The sequence below is a fragment of the Homo sapiens genome, chromosome 5 (genome assembly GCF_000001405.40).
Source record: "Homo sapiens chromosome 5, GRCh38.p14 Primary Assembly".
In the NCBI taxonomy this organism is placed as follows: Eukaryota; Metazoa; Chordata; class Mammalia; order Primates; family Hominidae; genus Homo; species Homo sapiens.
The window spans coordinates 67,163,027-67,178,749 of NC_000005.10; the positions used below are offsets into that span (position 1 = coordinate 67,163,027).

The 15,723-nt window shown below is 45.5% G+C and overlaps 1 protein-coding gene across 28 annotated transcripts in view, besides 2 other annotated features; it reads left to right on the forward strand.

Annotated features, from left to right (window-relative positions):
- MAST4 (microtubule associated serine/threonine kinase family member 4) overlaps positions 1–6,567 on the forward strand; it is a 573,201-nt gene extending 566,634 nt beyond the window's left edge. For all 28 annotated transcript variants that reach the window (XM_024446044.2, XM_047417157.1, XM_047417158.1 and 25 more), the window contains one exon: positions 121–6,567. In XM_024446044.2, the coding sequence (XP_024301812.1) occupies positions 121–4,025 (3,905 nt within the window). In that variant the 3' untranslated portion in view covers positions 4,026–6,567. The remainder of the gene's footprint in view (positions 1–120) is intronic.
- Positions 3,285–3,334: a silencer, noted in NCBI's record as "silent region_16070". NCBI's record gives its function as "represses an Ori minimal core promoter by ATAC-STARR-seq in GM12878 lymphoblastoid cells {active_cell/tissue: GM12878}" and the evidence as "EXISTENCE:reporter gene assay evidence [ECO:0000049][PMID:35858748]".
- Positions 3,775–4,280: an enhancer, noted in NCBI's record as "H3K27ac-H3K4me1 hESC enhancer chr5:66462629-66463134 (GRCh37/hg19 assembly coordinates)". NCBI's record gives its function as "activates a minimal SCP1, AML or CMV promoter by ChIP-STARR-seq in naive H9 embryonic stem cells {active_cell/tissue: H9 hESC(naive)}" and the evidence as "EXISTENCE:reporter gene assay evidence [ECO:0000049][PMID:30033119]".

Consider the following 15,723-nt stretch of genomic DNA (forward strand, 5'->3'; position numbering starts at 1 on the left):
TAAATGCTGAGACAATTTGCTGATCTTACCTGGCCTTACCTAATACAGTCTGGGCTACAACTGTGAAAAAAAGGGGAAAATGACCATGGATGCTCACAGCCTTCTGTTTTCCATCCACAGGTACTAATTCCTCCCAGAGCAGCTCCCCTAGTTCTAGTGCCCCCAATTCCCCAGCAGGGTCCGGGCACATCCGGCCCAGCACTCTCCACGGTCTTGCACCCAAACTCGGCGGGCAGCGGTACCGGTCCGGAAGGCGAAAGTCCGCCGGCAACATCCCACTGTCCCCGCTGGCCCGGACGCCCTCTCCAACCCCGCAACCCACCTCCCCGCAGCGGTCACCATCCCCTCTTCTGGGACACTCACTGGGCAATTCCAAGATCGCGCAAGCCTTTCCCAGCAAGATGCACTCCCCGCCCACCATCGTCAGACACATCGTGAGGCCCAAGAGTGCGGAGCCCCCCAGGTCCCCGCTGCTCAAGCGCGTGCAGTCCGAGGAGAAGCTGTCGCCCTCTTACGGCAGTGACAAGAAGCACCTGTGCTCCCGCAAGCACAGCCTGGAGGTGACCCAAGAGGAGGTGCAGCGGGAGCAGTCCCAGCGGGAGGCGCCGCTGCAGAGCCTGGATGAGAACGTGTGCGACGTGCCGCCGCTCAGCCGCGCCCGGCCAGTGGAGCAAGGCTGCCTGAAACGCCCAGTCTCCCGGAAGGTGGGCCGCCAGGAGTCTGTGGACGACCTGGACCGCGACAAGCTGAAGGCCAAGGTGGTGGTGAAGAAAGCAGACGGCTTCCCAGAGAAACAGGAATCCCACCAGAAATCCCATGGACCCGGGAGTGATTTGGAAAACTTTGCTCTGTTTAAGCTGGAAGAGAGAGAGAAGAAAGTCTATCCGAAGGCTGTGGAAAGGTCAAGTACTTTTGAAAACAAAGCGTCTATGCAGGAGGCGCCACCGCTGGGCAGCCTGCTGAAGGATGCTCTTCACAAGCAGGCCAGCGTGCGCGCCAGCGAGGGTGCGATGTCGGATGGCCGGGTGCCTGCGGAGCACCGCCAGGGTGGCGGGGACTTCAGACGGGCCCCCGCTCCTGGCACCCTCCAGGATGGTCTCTGCCACTCCCTCGACAGGGGCATCTCTGGGAAGGGGGAAGGCACGGAGAAGTCCTCCCAGGCCAAGGAGCTTCTCCGATGTGAAAAGTTAGACAGCAAGCTGGCCAACATCGATTACCTCCGAAAGAAAATGTCACTTGAGGACAAAGAGGACAACCTCTGCCCTGTGCTGAAGCCCAAGATGACAGCTGGCTCCCACGAATGCCTGCCAGGGAACCCAGTCCGACCCACGGGTGGGCAGCAGGAGCCCCCGCCGGCTTCTGAGAGCCGAGCTTTTGTCAGCAGCACCCATGCAGCTCAGATGAGTGCCGTCTCTTTTGTTCCCCTCAAGGCCTTAACAGGCCGGGTGGACAGTGGAACGGAGAAGCCTGGCTTGGTTGCTCCTGAGTCCCCTGTTAGGAAGAGCCCCTCCGAGTATAAGCTGGAAGGTAGGTCTGTCTCATGCCTGAAGCCGATCGAGGGCACTCTGGACATTGCTCTCCTGTCCGGACCTCAGGCCTCCAAGACAGAACTGCCTTCCCCAGAGTCTGCACAGAGCCCCAGCCCAAGTGGTGACGTGAGGGCCTCTGTGCCACCAGTTCTCCCCAGCAGCAGTGGGAAAAAGAACGATACCACCAGTGCAAGAGAGCTTTCTCCTTCCAGCTTAAAGATGAATAAATCCTACCTGCTGGAGCCTTGGTTCCTGCCCCCCAGCCGAGGTCTCCAGAATTCACCAGCAGTTTCCCTGCCTGACCCAGAGTTCAAGAGGGACAGGAAAGGTCCCCATCCTACTGCCAGGAGCCCTGGAACAGTCATGGAAAGCAATCCCCAACAGAGAGAGGGCAGCTCCCCTAAACACCAAGACCACACCACTGACCCCAAGCTTCTGACCTGCCTGGGGCAGAACCTCCACAGCCCTGACCTGGCCAGGCCACGCTGCCCGCTCCCACCTGAAGCTTCCCCCTCAAGGGAGAAGCCAGGCCTGAGGGAATCGTCTGAAAGAGGCCCTCCCACAGCCAGAAGCGAGCGCTCTGCTGCGAGGGCTGACACATGCAGAGAGCCCTCCATGGAACTGTGCTTTCCAGAAACTGCGAAAACCAGTGACAACTCCAAAAATCTCCTCTCTGTGGGAAGGACCCACCCAGATTTCTATACACAGACCCAGGCCATGGAGAAAGCATGGGCGCCGGGTGGGAAAACGAACCACAAAGATGGCCCAGGTGAGGCGAGGCCCCCGCCCAGAGACAACTCCTCTCTGCACTCAGCTGGAATTCCCTGTGAGAAGGAGCTGGGCAAGGTGAGGCGTGGCGTGGAACCCAAGCCCGAAGCGCTTCTTGCCAGGCGGTCTCTGCAGCCACCTGGAATTGAGAGTGAGAAGAGTGAAAAGCTCTCCAGTTTCCCATCTTTGCAGAAAGATGGTGCCAAGGAACCTGAAAGGAAGGAGCAGCCTCTACAAAGGCATCCCAGCAGCATCCCTCCGCCCCCTCTGACGGCCAAAGACCTGTCCAGCCCGGCTGCCAGGCAGCATTGCAGTTCCCCAAGCCACGCTTCTGGCAGAGAGCCGGGGGCCAAGCCCAGCACTGCAGAGCCCAGCTCGAGCCCCCAGGACCCTCCCAAGCCTGTTGCTGCGCACAGTGAAAGCAGCAGCCACAAGCCCCGGCCTGGCCCTGACCCGGGCCCTCCAAAGACTAAGCACCCCGACCGGTCCCTCTCCTCTCAGAAACCAAGTGTCGGGGCCACAAAGGGCAAAGAGCCTGCCACTCAGTCCCTCGGTGGCTCTAGCAGAGAGGGGAAGGGCCACAGTAAGAGTGGGCCGGATGTGTTTCCTGCTACCCCAGGCTCCCAGAACAAAGCCAGCGATGGGATTGGCCAGGGAGAAGGTGGGCCCTCTGTCCCACTGCACACTGACAGGGCTCCTCTAGACGCCAAGCCACAACCCACCAGTGGTGGGCGGCCCCTGGAGGTGCTGGAGAAGCCTGTGCATTTGCCAAGGCCGGGACACCCAGGGCCTAGTGAGCCAGCGGACCAGAAACTGTCCGCTGTTGGTGAAAAGCAAACCCTGTCTCCAAAGCACCCCAAACCATCCACTGTGAAAGATTGCCCCACCCTGTGCAAACAGACAGACAACAGACAGACAGACAAAAGCCCGAGTCAGCCGGCCGCCAACACCGACAGAAGGGCGGAAGGGAAGAAATGCACTGAAGCACTTTATGCTCCAGCAGAGGGCGACAAGCTCGAGGCCGGCCTTTCCTTTGTGCATAGCGAGAACCGGTTGAAAGGCGCGGAGCGGCCAGCCGCGGGGGTGGGGAAGGGCTTCCCTGAGGCCAGAGGGAAAGGGCCCGGTCCCCAGAAGCCACCGACGGAGGCAGACAAGCCCAATGGCATGAAACGGTCCCCCTCAGCCACTGGGCAGAGTTCTTTCCGATCCACGGCCCTCCCGGAAAAGTCTCTGAGCTGCTCCTCCAGCTTCCCTGAAACCAGGGCCGGAGTTAGAGAGGCCTCTGCAGCCAGCAGCGACACCTCTTCTGCCAAGGCCGCCGGGGGCATGCTGGAGCTTCCAGCCCCCAGCAACAGGGACCATAGGAAGGCTCAGCCTGCCGGGGAGGGCCGAACCCACATGACAAAGAGTGACTCCCTGCCCTCCTTCCGGGTCTCCACCCTGCCTCTGGAGTCACACCACCCCGACCCAAACACCATGGGCGGGGCCAGCCACCGGGACAGGGCTCTCTCGGTGACTGCCACCGTAGGGGAAACCAAAGGGAAGGACCCTGCCCCAGCCCAGCCTCCCCCAGCTAGGAAACAGAACGTGGGCAGAGACGTGACCAAGCCATCCCCAGCCCCAAACACTGACCGCCCCATCTCTCTTTCTAATGAGAAGGACTTTGTGGTACGGCAGAGGCGGGGGAAAGAGAGTTTGCGTAGCAGCCCTCACAAAAAGGCCTTGTAACGGGGAGGGCCCAGGGGCAGGACTGTGGAGACCCGTCCTGAACGGGCGACTGTGTCTTGACTACCTTTCAAAACCAGCACTGTGTGGGAATGTCCGCCAGGCAGAGCTCGGAGCCTCATTGAGACAGGGGAGAGAGAAAGACAAAGAGGGGACCTTCTTCCAGATGCCTTCCCAGTTGTAACCGGTAAAACTGTTACCAGATAGTGTTTGTACAAAAAAAAAAAAAAAAAAAAAAAAAAAAATTACCTTTACAGTTGAGGGTTGTTGAGGAAAATGATTTTCTTTGTAAATATATAGCATCGTGTTTGGTTTGGGATGTAGAGTCTATACCTGGCTGCTGATTGCGTCGTTTACTACAGCTTTTTTTAAATAAGATTTTTGCTTTACCATTTATCATAATGTAGTAATGAAGCAAAATGGTCAAAACTGGGTGTGTGTGAACAGAGATACACCCATATTCGTGTATATACACATCCACCTACATGTTTTGGTCTGTGGTTTAAGAGACTATTTCAAGGTTCCATTTTTATAAGCTAAAACATTCTAAGTTAAGATGGAAGAAAGCCCTAAACACAGTAGATTCTGAGTTTTTATGTGTATTTTAACCAGAGTTTCTGATAGTACTGTATCTGGCTACCTATATTTCCAGATCTAAAGCAAGAACTACTCTAAGTACTGCATTTGGAATCCTCCTCCATTAGGAATGGCCAGGACAAGTGGAGCTAGCCATTTTCATTACACGGCCATCCCAATGGACACTGGATCCCTGGTCCAACTGTCTAAAAGGCCAGTTGTTCCTTTCTGTGGATGTGGATGTCTGGCCTTCACCTGAGGTAGAGCGGGGACTATAAACACACATCAACTTTCTTTCTGTTTGCTTTCTTTTCCTTCTTTTCAAACTCTTAAACTCAGGCCTTTATGCTGTGAGTGACTAGTCCAAGAAGCACACATTTTGTAGTAGTCCTGCACCAGCCCTGCTCTTGAATAAAAAGGAAAATTACTGGCTGCACCCAAATCTTCTAGTACTTGAGTAATAAGCATCAGGCATTGGAAGAGGTTTTAAATTTGCTTTTTTGAGGAAAAGAACTGGGGGTGGATTTTGGCATCGTAGCATATCGATTAAAGAATAATCAGGACATCAGATACATTTTAATACATAGCTGGGGCCTTATGTTGTAGATGAAGCTTGCTGTTTTTAGCAAGTTCCTGGGTTTCACATTCATTTCTGCTGCATCTAGTAGCTCCACACATTTCATAACCTGATCTCTTTATTTGTATGCAAAAAATACTGTCTTAATACAGAGCAGCATTTTTGTAACAAAGAGACTCGCTGGAGCTATTTGGTGCTTGAATGTGACCATCCTTTTTACTTTTGCTAAGCCTTATTTAAATTTTGTATACCGTGGAATATGTAGAATTTGTCAAATCATTTTAGTGCTGAAGGTTTTTGATTTCTTGTTTTTGTTTCTGTTGTTGCAGTTTCTTTGGTGGCTTGTTTTGTATTGTAAGATGGCACTTGCTGATATAAATACTAAGGCACTAAGAGAAAATACAGATAAGTATTTATAAGTTGCTTGGGAACCATAGCAGAATTTTTTGTTTGGTTTTGTAAGAGAAAAAAAATTACCAATAAATAACTGATCTAGCACCCAAACTCTCTTGGGGGATGTCTTAGTATCTTCACGCTATAAAATTGTTCATCTAAGCACAGCATCATCTTATGGCCTTATGGATTGTAAATCTTCTAGTGAGGCTATAAACTCCACTCTGAAAACAAAGGCATAACTTAACCGACTGCTCAGTTGTCCTTCGTTGTAAAATGAATTGGCTTTGGGAAAAAGGAAAAAAACAAACAAAAAAAGAAAAAGAAAAAAGCCTCCTCCTTGCCCCTAATTTTTTTTTCCCATATGGTTTTAGCCATTCCCCATCACTATATTGTGAAGCTGTAAAAATATATATATATACTTTACAAGAGTTTACTAATGGATTTCAAAACTGGTCTCAACGTTTATAATACATATCTGTGTTTGGCAGTTGTCATAACCCAATCCTACATTCAGCCATCGGGACAAGTCTGTCGGGGAGGTAGTTCATGGTTTACAAGCCTTTGCTTTTTAACTGTCCAATTTCCTTTAAAGCACAACTAGCTATTTGTTTACAAATGATATTTTTATGTATATTTTGTATAGTGTATCATCATTTTTGCCAAATATGTTTTTCATTATAAATGAGTAAAGAGTACTTAAGGTTGCATTCATGTATTACATGTTTGTTGTTGTAAACCTCTCCAATCAGCTGGTAGAAATTCTCCTCATTGTGTTCTATTTGGTCAGTCTCTGTGTGATTGTAGGATGTGCTCCTTGGTAGTACTCCCAGCTGTAGATTTACCAGCTTAAAAGTTTGTTAGGATCTGTGCAATAAAGTGTTTGCAGTCTTATTTTCTCTAAGAAATTCCTTATGGACGTCATAATTGTTGTATATTGAACAAAATATTTATACTTATGCAGTTGCATAACATTGAAATAAAAATTTAGCATGAAAAGATAATGACTCGTAAGTTTTTTTCTAATATACTCATATGCATTCCACCTCCAAAAAATATTACTGATTATTACTCTGGTATTATGGAAAGGATAGGTTTTTACAGATTACTTTTTGCTGAGTGGAACAGTTTGCCTTTTTTTCTTAAAAATGTACACAAATATTCTTCAACATTAAGTCCTTTAGCTGGGCATAGTGGTGCTCACCTGTAGTCCTAGCTATTTGGGAGTCTTAAGGCAGGAAGATGGCTTCAGCTAGGAATTGGAGACCAACCTGGGCAACATAGACCCTATCTCTACAAAAACTTGAAAAGTTAGCTGGGTGTGGTGGTGTACGCCTATTGTCCCAACTACTCAGGAGGCTGAGGTAGGAGAATTACTTAAACCCATAAGTTCAAGGCTGCAGTGAACAAGCTATAATTGTGCCATTGCATTCCAGCCTGGGCAACAGAGTGAGACCCTATCTCCAAAAAAAAGAAAAAAAAAAAAGATTAAGTCCTCTTTTAACTTCTTCCTATTTTTTTCTACCAACCTTTTTCCTTGCCTGCAGAACTTACCAACTTCTACACTCACACTCACCATCTTCCCACACTCAGGGGGTCTTGATTCTCCTTTCTCTGTGACACCACCACCACCTCCTCTCATTCTCTCACGAACTTGCTCCATCAATTACCATAGTCTGCCTCAGCATTCTCTTTTTCCTCCCCAACTGTCTCTTTCCTTTCAGAAAACCCTTTCTTTACCTGGCCTTTTCCCTCTGTCCCTTCTCAGGTGACATCCTACAAGAGGAGTCTGCACTTAGTATTTTTGGGTCTTCACCCCTTTGAAACCTGGCTCTGTCACCCATGCCATCAACATCGCTCTGGTAGAGGTCACCAGTGACACAGCTGACTCTAAAGCCCTCTTGTCAAGACATCACTTCAGTAGACCATCTTGAGAACCGGTCTGTCCCTGACAGCCCTCTCTCCTAGTTGTCTTCAACCTGTTCTTTTTCTCTCTTTAGAGAATTTCTTCCTTGTCCTCTTGTCCCTTTAAATACTGGTGTTTCCTGGGTTCGTCCTTGGTCCCTGAGCATTTCAACTTGGCTCAGGCACCTCACACTCAAAATGTCCAAAAATATGCTTATTTTGGTGCCCCTTCTTTCAAAGCTCACTGTATTCCCCATCTTTTCTCCGAGTCAGATCCTAGATTTCTGCCTAAACTCTTCTTTCTTGCCTTACATCTTAAAAAAAAAAAAAAAAAAAAAAAAGCTTCACTGATTTCACAATATACTCTTCTGTGCAATCCATGTCCCGTCACTATTGTGCTACTGGCAGCCTTAGTTTGGTCTCTATCATAGTCTCTCTCCAGATGACCTCAACAGCCTCCTAACTGGTTTTCTTGCCTTCGCTCTTACCCCTTCTAGTCTGTTCTTCACAATGTCCCTAGAGTGATGTTGCTCAAGTGTAAGCACACCATGTTACTACCCTGCTTTAAACCTTTAAGTAGCACCCATATTCTTCGGGTAAAGGCCAGTTCCTTAAATGTATCCTTACCCTAGATAACTCCAGCTCAGCATGTGTGCTGGACTCAGACATCTGGAGGAAGCCTTTTGGAAAGGCCTGGACCGACCTGTGGACTGTCTTTGCTTCACTGTGTATCTGCCTCATGGCACTCACTGCGTTATTTTGGAGTTACCTTTCTACATGTGTATCTTCTTTGCTAGACTTCAAGCTCCCTGGTTCTCTGTCTTGTTTTTTACTTCTAGGACAAAGCACATCGGAGACATCAATAAGTATTTGCTGATATGGTTAGGCTTTGTGTCTCCACCCAAATTTCCTCTTAAATTGTAACCCCCATAATTCCCACGTGTCAAGGGAGAGACGAGGTGGAGTAACTGAATCATGGGGGCAGTTTCCCTCATGCTGTTCTCATGAGAACTGATGGTTTTATAAGGGGCTCTTCCCCACCCTTCGCTCAGCACTTCTTTCTGCCGCTGTGTGAAGAAGGTGGCTTGCTTCCCCTTTGCCTTCTGCCATGATTGTCAATTTCCTGAGGCCTCCCCAGCCATGCTGAACTACGAGTCAATTAAACCTCTTTCCTTTATACATTACCCAGTCTTGAGCAGTTCTTTATAGCAGTGTGAGAACGGACTAATACATTTGCTGGACCGAATTGAACAAGAAAGGAAGTATTAGTAGTCGCTACTGTTTGTAGCACATTTACTAGAAGCCAAGTAACACACTAAATACTTTATTTCCATCTTCTTATTTAATCTCCGTGCCATTTGAACTATACGTTGCTTCATTTTATAAATTAGGAAGCCAAAACTTGGAAAGAGGTTAAGTGACTAACCCTCGTGATTGGCAGGACTGAGGCTTGAACTCAAGCGATCTGACTGGACAGCCCATACATTTAACCTCTACCATTAGACGAGACCTTCTTCCTCCCACACACTATTCTACTACAATATAAATTGCAAGATGAAATGGGACAGAATCATGACAGTGTTTTTCACTGCCTGCGTGATGTAGTTTTCCCTGCTTAGAGGAACCCACTCTGCTAAGATTCACAGTTTTTAAAAGTAAGTATGGAAATGGTCATTTTAATGGGACTTGGTATCATGCTATGCAGAAAAGTCGGTCTTCACCATAAAAGAAAAAACCCACAAAGGATATTAAGTACACACATCACAGAGCCAATAATGGCCATAGCAAGAGCTATTAAGTGAACAACCAGTTTAGAGCGAATACATAAAAGAAACTTTAAATGAAAAGCAAGAGATTGAAGTTTTAAAGGTATTTACCTTGAGCTCGACCAGGTAAAACTAATGAGGTCATTAAAGGGCAAACAATTAGACATGCTCTTGTGGGTCTGTCCAGTCTGGGGCACAATTTCTTGTACTGTATTTTCAGCATCCACGTAGTGTTATCTTATTTGGGATTTTAAAAAATTGAAATGTAGCTAAATATGTGTTTGGGTGTATAATATTTCCCTAATAAACTGAGGGCTACCTCTTTTAAGCCCAAGGCATTTTTTTAAAGAGACATGGGTTGCCCATGCTGGCCTCAAACCCCTGGGCTCAAGGGATCCTCTCTGCTCAGCCTCTCGAGTACCTGGGACTACAAGGGTGCCCAGCTCTTCAAGGCATTATTTTTCCTTCTTTATAACAATGTAAGCACAATGTGATGCAGCCTACAAAAATTACAAGTTCTCGTAAATTTGTTTCAGTTCATTGTAGATTCTGTATATTAGCCCTTTGTCAGATGAGTAGGTTGCGAAAATTTTCTCCCATTTTGTAGGTTGCCTGTTCACTGACGGTAGTTTCTTTTGCTGTGCAGAAACTCTTTAGTTTAATTAGATCCCATTTGTCAATTTTGGCTTTTGTTGCCATTGCTTTTGGTGTTTTAGACATGAAGTCCTTGCCCATGCCTGTGTCCTGAATGGTAATGCCAAAACAAACAACCCCATCAAAAAGTGGGCGAAGGACATGAACAGACACATCTCAAAAGAAGACATTTATGCAGCCAAAAGACACATGAAAAAATGCTCACCATCACTGGCCATCAGAGAAATGCAAATCAAAACCACAATGAGATACCATCTCACACCCGTTAGAATGGCAATCATTAAAAAGTCAGGAAACAACAGGTGCTGGAGAGGATGTGGAGAAATAGGAACACTTTTACACTGTTGGTGGGACTGTAAACTAGTTCAACCATTGTGGAAGTCAGTGTGGCGATTCCTCAGGGATCTAGAACTAGAAATACCATTTGACCCAGCCATCCCATTACTGGGTATATACCCAAAGGACTATAAATCATGCTGCTATAAAGACACATGCACACGTATGTTTATTGTGGCATTATTCACAATAGCAAAGACTTGGAACCAACCCAAATGCCCAACAATGATAGACTGGATTAAGAAAATGTGGCATATATACACCATGGAATACTATGCAGCCATAAAAAAGGATGAGTTCATGTCCTTTGTAGGGACATGGATGAAATTGGAAATCATCATTCTCAGTAAACTATCGCAAGAACAAAAAACCAAACACCACATATTCTCACTGATAGGTGGGAATTGAACAATGAGAACACATGGACACAGGAAGGGGAACATCACACTCTGGGGCCTGTTGTGGGGTAGGGGGAGGGGGGAGGGATAGCATTGGGAGATATACCTAATGCTAGATGACGAGTTAGTGGGTGCAGCGCACCAGCATGGCACATGTATACATATGTAACTAACCTGCACATTGTGCACATGTACCCTAAAACTTTAATAATAAAAAAAAAATTACAAGTTCTGCCTTTTGGAGGTGGCATGATGTGGGGACATGGGGCAAGACTATCAAGAGGACCAGAGAATTCATGAACTAGAGATAGGAATTAAAGTAGGGAGAAATCACTTCTAAAAATAGTACTAACCCTCCCACAGGGGGCAATGGCAGCTTCCCTTGGCTGTTGAGCACTGAACTGCCAAGCATTTACAAGAAGAAAAGGGGTTGGCTTGAAGACTTCAGGTGAGGCAGCACATCTCAGCTCTAACATGCACATGATTCATGTGGGATCTTGCTAATTCTGGTTCAGAAGGCCTATGATAGCGCAGAAAATTCTAACAAGCTCTTCTCAAATGACTCAGATGCTGCCTGCCTGTTGACCACATGAATGCCCTGCCTGGCCACACCAGGGAGTTAGAATCTCTGAAGATTGGGCCTAGGCATCTATAATTAAAAAATAATAAAATAACTTCCACAGGTGATTCTAATGTGCATGCAAGGTTGAAAAGCAAAAACAAATTTCCCAGGTAGAGGATGATACTTGACTCATTCTACCTCAACATGAAATCATCATGAACAGAACTTGAAGACATTTCCCATATAACTGCTGGTCCAGTTGAGCCCTAAGGACCCTTTCCACTCAAAGTGTGGTCCTCAGACCAGCAACATCTGCATCACCTGGGAGTGTGTTAGGAATGCAGAATCTCAGTCCCCTGACCCCCTGCCTTCCCCATCCCTGGACCTGCTGATTTTCTGCATTTCCATGATAGCCAAGTAATTTGCTTGCCCTTCAAAATTTGAGAAGCATTGTTATCACTACTCCCCAAGCTTCCTAGAAGATGAGAATTACTTGGAATATTTGTTAAAAATACAAGTTTCTAGACCTCATCGCTGATCCACTCACGCAAAAATCTCTAGGACAAGGCCTGAGAAACTGGGTTTATAATCAGTGGACATGAGGGGCAGGTGATTCTTATCTGGGAGGCATGGGCAATAGTAATATAAGAGTATATTTACCATCCGTGCTCAAATTTGTCTCCAGCTAAAGTCTACTACGATGATTATTGGTGTTTTTTAAGCCCTTGGGCATAGAAAACTCAAAAACCATTGAAACCATCAGGAAGACAGCAACCTAAACACTTATTGTCCACCTACTGTGTGTATGTGTGTGTGTATACATATATACCTACTCAGTACTAAGCATGTGTGTATACACGCACACATGTATGTGCTTAGTACTGAGCAAGAAGCTTTTCATCTGCCCTCTGACTTAAACATCAACACAATTCTCAAACCCGGTGGTGCCATTCCCATTTTATAGATGAGAAATCAGGCCCAGCCAGGCTATGTCGTTTGCTTAACATACACCCTGGAAAGAGAGCTTGGATTAGAATCTGAATTTTTCTGGTTCTGAAGCGCTTGACCTTTCTCAGTATTACCAGGTGTCATGTAATTGAATTCAGATTCAGGCCCCTCTCTGAATAATCTAAGCTATCTTATTTCCTCTTTGCATGTAGAAAAATCATATGGTGCTAAATTATGAATTTGATGATTGGTGGGAAACCGTTAAGTGAAGGAAGCTAATCGTTCTCTGTAATAGGGCCTCTTTATCAGTTCTAATTAATCAGTAGACAATTTCTCATCTAGCATTTTCGGTTCACAACACAAATGTAACATGAAAACGTGTAGCTATAGTAACTACAGAAATTTGCTTCCTTCATTCTAGGCCAGGCTTTAAGAAAATCTATGGTAGGGCAGTTCTCTAAATTTCATTTCCCTCCTGCCAGGATGTTTTTATTCCTCAAAGCAATCATTTTGTGTTATTCCTCTCTTTCTCTACCCCCTACATGTCTCATATATCTAGAAAATTTGGAAATGACCAAGGCTTTGCCAAACCTTGGTTTGATTACGTTTTGTATGCTGAAAGCCAATCAGCCTGACCCATGATGAAGTTCTCTGGCAGTTGAGACACCTCAGACCCTGCACTGGAGTCATTAGCACTATTCCTTATAGGAAAACACTCAGCAACATCTCACTGATTTCTGTGACCCAGCATTTCAAAAGACAAGATCACTATCTCTTACAACATCACTGGCTGATGTTGGGGCTGTCAATTCCAATACTTGTAGGCAGGCAAGCACTTGAAAAAGGGGATGGGTCCCAAGAGTGAAGTTCTCTGTACACTCTGTGACATGCCAGTTTAGTATGTCCAGACATGGGAAAAAGATCTGTTGCATATGGTTACAGGTTATCACCCCACACAGCTTGACGAAATGTCTATTGCTCTTGTAAAGCTGAAAGCCTCTAACAAATAGTCATCTGCCATTTCATTAAGCGCTGCCAGGAGATGGCTGTCAACATCTGGGAAAGGAAGAATGAAAAGATGTTTGCAAGGCCTGCAGCAAGCATGTTGCAGCTACAAAGTCTGCATATGTCAGGCTGGCATCACCATATCCTCCAGCCTTAACCTGTCTAAATAAAAATCATTTGCCTTAAAGTTCTGTCCTTTTGGAATACGTATGCTGTGTTAAACAGTGCTGTACTGAAGTAATTTTCCTGAGTTGGAGACATATCTACTCCTGTTGGGGCTGGAGGCAGTTCTGTGGACACCCCATGTAATGCATGTCCTACTGCCCCATTCAAATGGGGATCCTTAGAACAGCTATGGCTCCCTCTGTTCCCTCAAAGCTTGGGCTTTACCATTTGCATTTGAAAACACAAAGACTTAGAAAAACACTGCCTCCTTTTCAGTACCTGTACATTCTCACAACCGATGATCTCTGTTTTTTATCTTTTTAAAAGCAAAAGTCTTCCTTAAAAAATAATTCCTTTTTCTCCTTATTGCCCAGACCTGGTCATTGAAGCCATGTTGGAAATATAGATGAGAAGAAAGTATTTGAATCCCTGAAATCCTACCAGCCACTCTGTTTCTTTAACTTATAGGTATTTTTTTGTTTTGCTGAATAATGAATTAACAGTGGGCATGCTCTTTAGCCCACTCTTCTGCTCTTCCACTTGTGTCACCAAAACACCAGGGGTTTGGTCTAGGTCCTGCTGCTCACTGCACAAAAAGCAAACCACTGAGATGACAGGTGTCACCAAGGAAGAAGGCTTTAATTGAGTGATGCAGCAGAGCAGAAGAAAGCTCAGTCTCAAATCCATCTCCCTGACCAACTAAAACCAAGGGTTTATATAGCACACAAAAAAATGTAACAATGTGTAAGAAAACAGGAACTTGGGAGGGGCAAGGAAGCAATCATAGTGAATGAGGGGTGGGGCATCTGGTGTGGCAATCTGGTTTCAGTTCTTTGATACTTTTTGTGAGAGGCCTGAAGGTCATTTCCTGAGAAAGGAACTCAGATAAAACAGATATGTTTCAAGCTTTTACAGCAGAAGGGTCCATATTTATGTTTATCCAAAAGCAACTGTCTATGAAACTCTTGGGCCAGTGTCACTTGAATATTAAAACAAATATATTTCAATGTTTATAAGCAAACTTCTGCAATATGTATAATGGCTGCATGGTGTCTCATTATACCTTTGAGCCATACCACTTTATTTCCTGTGGTATGCCTTTCTTTCAATAAATGTGTTTCCTTTCTTTCAATAAATCTGTTAGAGAGCCTCAGGTGCAGACCATGGAGGCCATCTTACTCTTCTGTTCCTGGCACATCAACCTTGGCCTATTCTAAGGTTCATTTAATTATCCCAACAGCCCCTTCCATTCTCCACCACCACCCCATAAGCAATTATGTTAATGGTTTATCTTTTTGCTTTTGTTCCTGCAAAATGTATGTATCATTGTTTTCATGCATGCTTGTTTAAGTTACATGGATGACCATGTTAACATATTATTTTATTGGCTGGGTACAGTGGCTCACGCCTGTAATCCCAACAATTTGGGAGGATGAAGTGGGTAGATTACGAGGTCAAGAGATCAAGACCATCCTGGCCAACATGGTGAAACCCCATCTCTACTAAAAATACAAAAATTAGCTGGGCATGGTGGTGTATGCCTATACTCCCAGCTACTTGGGAGGCTGAGGCAGGAGAATCGCTTGAACCTGGGAGGCAGAGGTTGCAGTGAGCCAAGATGGTGGCACTGAACTACAGCTGGGCGACAGAGTGAGACTCTCAAAAAAAATATATATATATTTTTTATATATACACACACATATATGTACACACACATATATACACATATATAAATACACACATACATATATATATATAATTTTGTTTTTTCACATTAAGTTCTATATGTTTATGATTCAGCTACGTTGCTATGGCTGCATCTAATACACTGCTTCTAACTACTGTCTAGTGCTTCCTGTCTTGAGCATCTTCCCCATTTTACTCACCTACTTCCTAGTGCAGAACACTCAAATTGCTGTGAACTTTCCCCTCCACAAATAATGCTGCAATGAATCACTTTGTGGACATATGATGCTTTCTTGGGAAAAAAACCCAGAGCAGTTTGTGGATAATACATTTAATTTGATTAATTGTTGCCAGATGGTCCTAGAATGGCTGTACCAGTCTACATCCCCATAATCAGGGCATGTAGTTCCTAAAACCCCACAGCCCCAACTACACTATCATCTAGCTTTCTCTTTTTGCCAGTCCAATAGATATAAACATTTATCTCATTTTAACTTGTATTTCTCTGATTGCTAATAGAATCAACATATTTTTAGTGTTAAGATGTTCCACCTAAGAGCATGGAGTATCTCCTCATTTATTCAGATCATCTAATATCCTTAATCATTTATCTATTGTTGCACATTTAGGTTCTCTCCAAGGAAGAGAGAAAGAGAAAAAGGGAGACCTAATTTATTTAGAAAGCCCATTAATCACCATAAAGGGTGGAGGAGGAGATGGAATGGATGCT